The sequence below is a fragment of the Homo sapiens genome, chromosome 7, assembly GCF_000001405.40.
Source record: "Homo sapiens chromosome 7, GRCh38.p14 Primary Assembly".
In the NCBI taxonomy this organism is placed as follows: Eukaryota; Metazoa; Chordata; class Mammalia; order Primates; family Hominidae; genus Homo; species Homo sapiens.
Genome location: NC_000007.14, coordinates 138,980,307 through 138,988,798, shown reverse-complemented (window position 1 = coordinate 138,988,798; position 8,492 = coordinate 138,980,307). Strand labels below are relative to the sequence as shown.

General features: G+C 48.4%; 1 protein-coding gene across 2 annotated transcripts in view, besides 6 other annotated features; it reads left to right on the top strand.

Annotated features, from left to right (window-relative positions):
- Positions 6,633–6,982: an enhancer, noted in NCBI's record as "active region_26745". NCBI's record gives its function as "activates an Ori minimal core promoter by ATAC-STARR-seq in GM12878 lymphoblastoid cells {active_cell/tissue: GM12878}" and the evidence as "EXISTENCE:reporter gene assay evidence [ECO:0000049][PMID:35858748]".
- Positions 6,963–7,092: a silencer, noted in NCBI's record as "silent region_18690". NCBI's record gives its function as "represses an Ori minimal core promoter by ATAC-STARR-seq in GM12878 lymphoblastoid cells {active_cell/tissue: GM12878}" and the evidence as "EXISTENCE:reporter gene assay evidence [ECO:0000049][PMID:35858748]".
- Positions 7,113–7,492: a silencer, noted in NCBI's record as "silent region_18689". NCBI's record gives its function as "represses an Ori minimal core promoter by ATAC-STARR-seq in GM12878 lymphoblastoid cells {active_cell/tissue: GM12878}" and the evidence as "EXISTENCE:reporter gene assay evidence [ECO:0000049][PMID:35858748]".
- KIAA1549 overlaps positions 7,410–8,492 on the top strand; it is a 150,009-nt gene continuing 148,926 nt past the window's right edge. For both annotated transcript variants that reach the window (NM_020910.3, NM_001164665.2), the window contains exon 1: positions 7,410–7,716. In NM_020910.3, the coding sequence (NP_065961.2) occupies positions 7,530–7,716 (187 nt within the window). In that variant the 5' untranslated portion in view covers positions 7,410–7,529. The remainder of the gene's footprint in view (positions 7,717–8,492) is intronic.
- Positions 7,533–7,662: a silencer, noted in NCBI's record as "silent region_18688". NCBI's record gives its function as "represses an Ori minimal core promoter by ATAC-STARR-seq in GM12878 lymphoblastoid cells {active_cell/tissue: GM12878}" and the evidence as "EXISTENCE:reporter gene assay evidence [ECO:0000049][PMID:35858748]".
- Positions 7,533–8,491: a biological region, named in NCBI's record as "H3K27ac hESC enhancer GRCh37_chr7:138665054-138665940".
- Positions 7,605–8,491: an enhancer, noted in NCBI's record as "H3K27ac hESC enhancer chr7:138665054-138665940 (GRCh37/hg19 assembly coordinates)". NCBI's record gives its function as "activates a minimal SCP1, AML or CMV promoter by ChIP-STARR-seq in naive H9 embryonic stem cells {active_cell/tissue: H9 hESC(naive)}" and the evidence as "EXISTENCE:reporter gene assay evidence [ECO:0000049][PMID:30033119]".

Genomic DNA, 8,492 nt, shown 5'->3' with positions numbered 1-8,492 from the left:
ATTAATTTTGAGAAAATATAAAGTCAATTAAATGGCAAAAGGATAGTCTGCAACAAATGGTGCTATAACAACTAGACATCACACCCACAAAATTAACTTCAACCCTTTAATCTCACAAAATACATCAAAGTTGACTCAAATGGATCATAGACTGAAACATAAGAGCTAAAACATTAAGTTTCTGGATAGAAACATGAGAGAAAATATTTGTGACCTCGAGCTAGGCAAATATTTTTTAGGACACAAAAAACATGAAACAAAAAAGAAAAAAATAATAAAAAAGTGTATTTCACCAAAGTTAAAAACCTCTTCTCTTTGAATATCTTAAGAGAATGAAAAGACAAGTTATGGACTAGGAGAAAACATTTGCAAAACACACATCGGATAAAAGATTTGTATTTAGAATACATAAATATACAATTTGGTAAGATTTGAACAGACATGCCACCAAAGAAGACATATTGATTGCAAATAAACACATGGAGAGTGTTCAATATCATTAGTCATGAGGACAAGGCAGATTAAGTGCACAATGAGATATCATTAGACACTTGCTAGAATGGTTCAAATTAAAAAGGCTAACAAAATCAAGTGCTAACAAGGGTATGGAACAACTAGACCTTTCATACATTGCTGGTGGGGATCTAAAATATATCCCACCTGGGAAGACAGTTGGGCAGTTTAAATTTACATTTATCACGCCACCCAGTTAAATTTACATTTATCACATGACTTAGCAGATCTACTCCTAGGTATTTACCCAAGAGAAATGAAAACATATGTTCACACAAAATACCTGAAAACAAATGTTTTTAGCAGCATTATTAATAATGACCAAAAACCTGGAAACAATCCAAATGTTCATCAGTTGGTGACTGGACAAATTGTGGTATATCCATTCAATGGAATACTACTAAGCAATAGAAAGGAACAAGTTACTGACGCATGCAACAACTTGGATGAATCTCAGACATTATGCTAAGTAAAAGAAACCAGACACAAAGTGCTACATACTATATAATTCCATTTATGTCAAATGCTGGAAAAGGCAAAGCTGTAGAAACAGAAATCAGATCAGTGGCTGTCAGAGGGAGGGTATGGGATAGACTGCAAGCTGGCACAAGGGAACTTTAAGGGCAATGTAAATGTTCTTTACCTTGAATGTGGTGGTGGTTATAGGATTTCATAGAATTGTTGAAACTCACTGAACATTTTTAAAAGGTGAATTTTCATCAAACTGCTTATGATTGTGGATAGCTTTGTTCTTTGCTTCTTGTGTTTTTCAGTTTCCTGAATTGTACATATTAACTTTTAAAAAATAAAGATTATTTTTAAAACCTGAAAAAAAAAAGGCGAACTTTTATTTATTTATTTATTTATTTTTTGAGACAGAGTCTCGCTCTGTCACCAGGCTGGAGTGCAATGATGTGATCTCTGCTCACTGCAACCTTCGCCTTCCGGGTTCAAGCTATTTTCCTGCCTCAGCCTCCCGACTAGTTGGGATTACAGGCACGCACCACCACACCTGGCTAATTTTTGTATTTTTAGTAGAGACGGGGTTTTGCCAGGTTGGTCAGGCTGGTCTCAAACTCCTGACCTCGTGATCCACCCATCCTGGCCTCCCAAAGTGCTAGGATTACAGGCATGAGCCACCACGCCTGGCCAAAAAAGGTGAATTTTATCTGATTAAATTACCTGACTAAATTTGCCAGCTGAATTAAACTTGACTTGAAAAAAAAAAAAGGAAAAGGAAGTGAGCTGATTTTATATTTTGATAGATAAGGTCAAATTATCCTCCAAAATGGCTACACCAGTAGAATTCGAGAGTGCCTATTTTGCTATACACTTGAATATACAAATGAATATAATCAAAATTTTAAAAGTTTTGTCTGTTTGATGGTGAAAAATATTTTGATCCTTGATATTCATGCAGCAGCATTAAGATCTTGTTCTGGCTAGGTGCAGTGGCTCACGCCTGTAATCCCAGCACTTTAGGAGGCCGAGGCAGGCGGATCTCGAGGTCAAGAGATGAAGACCAGCCTGGCCAACATGGTGAAAACCCGCCTCTACTAAAAATACAAAAAAATTAGCTGGGCGTGGTGATGTGCGCCTGCCGTCCCAGCTACTCGGGAGGCTGAGGCAGGAGAATCGCTTGAACCGGGGAGGTAGAGGTTGCAGTGAGCATAGATTGCGTCACTGCATTCCAGCCTGGTGACAGAGCTAGACTCCATCTCAAAAAAAAAAAAAAAAAAAAAATCTTGTTTTAATTGGTCTCCTCTTTAGTCTTTTCTCTTTCCAAATCATCTTATATAATGTTAATAGAGTAATCCTTCTTGTGCTTAGTTCTAATAATATCTGAACAAATCTTTAATGATCCACCGTCACCTACAAAATTAAGTCCAAACCCTTCAGCCAGATCTTTAAGCTCTCCTTGTTCTATATCAGCTTCCCTTTTCTCTCTTCTCTGCTGCGCCTCTCTAGGTCTGGTATGTCTTACCACTTTCAGTAAGTGATTATAAAGTCTCACTCTTAGACATCTAGCTCAATGGTTCTTACACACTGGAATCCTGGGAAGCTTTTAAAAGACAGGGCTGTCCAAGCCTGGTCTGCAGAGATTTGGATTTTACTGGTCTGAAGTGTGGCCTGGGGGTGTTCTGTTTTGTTTTGTTTGTGGTGTCCAGGTGATTTTAATTTGCAGTCAGCATTGTGAACCACTGCTCTAGCTGATCTGGCCATCAGCTAGATAAATTTCATGCATTCCTGCCTTTATATTTTTGTACTGTTGGTTCCCTCCACCTGGAACACCTGTCCTGTTCTCTTTAGCTGTCCAAGTCCTCTTCATTTTTTAGGCGCCCCCTAACACCCAGCTTCCATGCAACACTACACTGAAGCTTTGCTTGATCTCTTGTGCCAAATATGATTTCTACTTCTTTGAACTTTTTTTTATAACTTCCTTCGGACATCTGTCATGTTCTACTTTGCAATATGTAGGTTTTTAAAATTTGTTTTTTTTTTTCCCGTAAGACTGTAAGCTCCTTGAAAAAACTGTAGACAATTATTATTTTTTTTTTTTTTGAGGCAGGGTCTAGCTCTGTTGCCCAGGCTGAAGTGCACTGGCATGATCACGGCTCACTGCAGCCTTGACCTCCTCAGGCTCAGGTGATCCTCCCACCTCAGCCTCTCGGGTGGCTGGGACTACAGGTGCACGCCACCATGCCTAGCTAATGTTTTGGATTTCTTCATAGAGATGGGAGTCTCACCATGTCGCCCAGGCTGGTCTCAAACTCCTGGGCTCAAGCAATCCACCTGCCTCAGCCTCCCAAAGTGCTAGAATTACAGACGTGAGCCACTGTGCCCGGCCTAATTAATCTTACTGATCATTTAGCACATGACTCTACGGGGCGCTTACTTAGTAGGGACTCAGTAAATATTTTTTGAATGTTTATTCTGGCTACTTCTCCACTTTGCACAGTTGTTCCCTCTGCCTGACACCCTCTTCCCCAGCTATCCCCATGGCCCAATGTCACCTTAGTAGGGTGATCATCCCTGACTATTCTATTTAACACAGTAACACTGACCCTTCCCTCACTCCTTTTCCCTCTTTGTTATTCTGCAAATTGTTGTCATCAGCCGAAGGCTCACTTACTGATTGCCTGTCTCCTCTCACTAGAACATAAGTTCCACGAGGAAGGGCCTTTGTTTTGTTCACCGTTATACCTCCAGTGCCCACTGCACTGCCTGGCATATGGTACATGCTCAAAAAATATTCATTGAATTTAATGAATGACCTTTGTGAACATTCATCTTATTTTGTATAATTCTCTTAAGAACCGAACCCACAGCTAAGCAAGGTAGGCATGTGAAGCCCATCATCAGATAAGAACATTTGAGGTTTGAGAGTAGGGTGAAGCATTTTGTTCAAGTTCATAAACTTTTCTGTGACAGAGCAGAACGCAGAACTCAGCTGTCCTGATTCCTATTCTAGGACTCTCACACTACCCTCTACCGACTTCCAGCCATCCTCTAACTTCAGTCCCTCTGTCCCATCCTTATCCAGACCCTAAGAATTGAGGGGCCCAGGTCAAGAGTGCAAATAGGGGCTCACGCAGCCCATTTCACATTTGGCCATTTTGGCCATTTCACATCGATGACCAGATTTTCATCAGCAAGTTACATGCCAAGCAAGCAAACTATTAAATATGTCTGTTCTACCTTAACAAACGTATGTCTTCAGAATGGTTAGGCTGGTTCACAGGCAGGATTCGCAGACTTCCTGCAGTTGTGAGCAGAACATCGCAGCCAGGTTGCCATGTGAATATGGGCCATGCCCGATCTTCTCTTCCCATCCCTGGTCCTCTGCTTCATTCCTATAGGTTTCATGTGCGCATCTTTAGAGATGCCTCCTGCGTAAGTTTTGCCACTCCCTAGCAAACAACTACCCCGTGGGACCAGACACACCCTTGGTGCAGCCTTGGGAGAATGGACTTGAGGAAGAGGCCACATAGGCCTGAAGATGAGCCTGGGGTGAAATGGGCAGGATTCTGGGGTCCTGGGCACCTGAGCATGGGAAGATGGGCTGCTGGTGAGGGTGCTTCCTGGGCTTCACAGACTCTGTCCTGAGGAGAGAGGTGCAGTTTGAGAAGGCCAGAGTGGGGCCCGCTTCGTCTAGGTCTAAGGATAGTACTGAGCCTACCTCTCCCTGTCTCCAAACCAGATTGTAAGCCTATCGAGGACCCAGGTTAATTTTCCCCCTCCCCTGGAGGGTGTGTGGTTTAACTGGAGACGACAATTCCAGTTGGAGTTGAGCCTTATGGAAATAAACTAACCTCTCTGGCTTGTTTCTTTATCTATGAGAATTGGATGAGATGATCTCTAAAATCGATTTTAAAATCTTACACACACACACACATTTGCACACACTCCCCTACCTCCAAGGACCACTCATCCCCTCTGAGTCTGCAGAGTAACACCACCTACCAGCTGGACTGTCAGAGCCTGGTAGACATTTTCCCAGACATGGAGGCAGAATGCCTTAAATCCTAACAGAGGTAAGATTTTGTTTTATGCCTTCAGAGCTGGGAGACTAAGGGACCCTAGGGACCTCACTTTCCACGGACACTTTGGTGTCCATGAGTCATTTCTAGTATCTCAGGGTTCCAATTTTTATTTTTACTTCCAGCTGATCAATCTCTTAATGGCAGGGCAAACACTATTGTCTTTGAGTTTGCAGAGAATGGAGAAGGAGACTCCTTTCTTTTTTCTTTTCCTTTTTTTTTTTTTTTTTTTTTTGAGATGGAGTCTTGCTGTGGCACCCAGGCTGGAGTGCAGTGGCGTGATCTTGGTTTACTGTAACCTCCGCCTCCTGGGTTCAAGTGATCCTCCTGCCTCAGCCTCCTGAGTAGCTGGGATTACAAGCACGTGCCACCATGCCTGGGTAAATTTTTCTGTGTTTTTATTAGAGACGGGGTTTGCCATGTTGGCCAGGCTGGTCTTGAACTCCTGACCTCAGGTGATCTGCCTGCCTTGGCCTCCCAAAGTGCTGGGATTATAGGCGTGAGCCACCGCGCATGGCCGAGGGAGGCTTTTTTCTCTGACACCAACGGGTCTAGTGTAGATGGCAGCTTGCAGGAGGCTGAGGCCAAATCTGAAGATGGAACCTCTTCACGGGCGGAATGCATGCTCTGGCTCAAACCAACGATTGTCTACTGAGGGCTTACTGGGGCTATGAGAAATCCTAAGCAGGATAGCACCATATTTGAATTTCATATTAATTTATTGGAGGTGGGGTGGGGGCTGTGTGTGCAAAGCATAAATTCATAAAAGATAAAACAACACAACAGGACAAGACCATTCAAGAGTTGCACGAAGGCAGTGGTTTGTGGTCAAATGTGCTGTTATAGAGAGTTCAGAGAATAAAGATAAGTGTGTGAATAAGAGGTCCCAGATCTATGGCCATGGTGTCCTGGGACCAGACATATCTGGGCAGTTTCTCTTAGGTACTTACCTGGGTGTGCACGCAGAACCCTCTTTGGGAGACAGGAGCAGTTACTGTAATAAACATAGGGGCTGTATGATGGGGGGTTACAATAACGTGTAAAAACACCAGGAACATCAACAAAAGCTTTTTTTAACCTTTATTCTCATTTTCCTTGAAACTACCAGGTTTCAAGTACCCACCTGTAAGGACCAGGTGTGTACCTACAGAAGAGTGCCCCTGTCCTATTCTTAGGAAGAACTATTCGCCAAGGGCAAGGAGTCCAGAAGAGTTGGAGCTGCAAGGCTGGGCAGCCCCTTCAAGGGCTGGGCCTGGCAGGGGAACCCGACTGAATAGCCGCGAGGATCCCTCTGCCAGTGTAATGATTCACCTTTTCCGCTGTCTGCCATAGTTTTTCTGCACGAGATAGTGTCCCCCACACACACCGTTAATATCTGCTTGATGCAACAATGCCAGTGGGATGCAACGATTCAAAACTTCCAATTCCTCCTCCCTAGACCCTGAAGCCACGGGGCGTCTTCAGAGTGACGTGCCTGGCACACAGTAGGTACTTGACAGATGTCAACTCCCTTCTTCCCGTTCCTCATTCCCCCCGCGGACTCCAACCCTCAAACGCTCTCTGGGCATTCTCTCCACCTCTCAGGAGCGCCACTTTCCCTAAAACGGCCTGGCCTTGCGGGTCTCCCCAGCTCCACGCCCATTCGCTTCAGCAGCCGCCTGCTCAAGGCCTGCTAAGTGCAGGGTCCCGCGGGCCTCCCAGGCCCTGAGCGCAGGGTCGCTTCCCGAAGACCCGCAGAGGTGGCCGCACCTTCTTAAGGCAGGAAGGCGGGGGAGAGCTGCGTGCGCTCTGCTCGCCCCTGCCTTGCACGCTGAGCTCTAGCGCAGGAGCCCGACTTTGTCTGGCTTTGTCCCCTCCGCGGCCCCGAGGCTGTCCTGAGAGCGCGGCGCCCCACACACCTGCTGCCCGCAAGGAGTCGGCGGGAGAGGAGGAGCGAGGGAGGCGAGAGGACCCCTCCCCCGGCTTGCCGGCCTACCCTGATCCGGGCGCCCCGGGGAACGCGCGGCGGGACCCGGGGTTGGGTGCGGGTCGGGGCGGCACCGCCCGGCCCAGGCCCCCCGAGCCCCTCGCGCTCCCTCCGGAAGGCGGGTCCTGGGGGAGGGCTGGGCCGCGCCGCCTCGCCGCCCTTGCCGCCTCTGCCGCGCCGAGCCCCGCGCACGCTGCCCCGGCCGCCCCGCAGGCAGGCAGGCAGGCAGGCAGGCAGGCGTCCGGCCGGCCGGGAGGGGGTGCTCGCCGTCCCGCGCCCGGGCCCGCGCGTTGCCGGGCAGCGGCTCCGAGGCTCCGAAGGGGGCGGAGCGGCAAGGCGGGCGTGCGGCTGGCGCCCCTGTCCTCGGTTCCGGCCCGGCCCGCCCCCGCCTCTCCGGCCTCCCTCCGCGCCGGTGCGCGGCGCCCCGTCCCAGCCGCAGCCGCAGCGGCCGCCCCTCCCGGACCCGAGAGCCGCTGAGCCGCGAGGCCGGGCCGGGGCGCCGGCCGGGAATGCCGGGGGCGCGGCGCCGACGCCGAGGCGCGGCCATGGAGGGGAAGCCCCGCGCCGGGGTCGCGCTGGCCCCGGGGCCGAGCGGCCGACGGCCTTCCGCCCGCTGCGCCCGCCGCCGCCGCCCGGGGCTGCTGCTTCCTGGCCTCTGGCTGCTGCTGCTGGCCCGGCCGGCCTCGTGCGCCCCAGGTAAGCTCCGCCGAGACCCTCGGAACGCGGCCGCGACCCCGCCTGCCTTTATCGCTGCTGTTTTCAAAACCCCGGCTTTCCCCGCCCATCCTCTTTTATTCTCCAGCTCCCTCGCCGTCCTTTCTGGAAGATGCTTTGCCATTCTTCTGGGGCCCAACAAATAAAGGCACGGGGGAAATAAATAATTAAAACGAACAAGCGAGCGGCTTCTGGCCGGTCTTGCTAAGGGGTCTGCAAAGCTGTTCTCTTGTCCATGGAACCCGAAGCGGGTCTGGTGGCTTCATCTCAGAATGTGCCTGGTTTTTCCTGCAGAATGCAGGCACCGGCGTGCTTTTTTGTCAAGGCTGTATGATGTGGCATATCGAATGTTTTGAGATACTTTATTGTCGGGGCGAAGAGGTGGATTCGAGGTGTGCTTTAAAAGAGTATTGCATTACCGGGACAAGCCCAGCGTCCCCCAGATGCGGGCAGGCCGGCCGTGTCCCCCCGTACAGCAGGACACAAAGAACATTCAAAGAAAACCTCTTGGAAAGCGCCCTGGCCACGGATCTTTCCAGGGAAATAGCTATTGGTATTACTTCTGCAAGGCATTATTAGTACAATGGAGTGTGAAAATATTTTGATTCTTAAGTGTCTGGGCATGAAAGGAGTAAGGGCTGTTTTTATAACAGATGCAATTTAGTGACTGTTCATCAGTATGGAATGAAGAGGCATGATTTATGAAGAAGCATAAGGGTTTTGTTGTGGAAGAAATGATTTAATTCCTATTGCTTCTC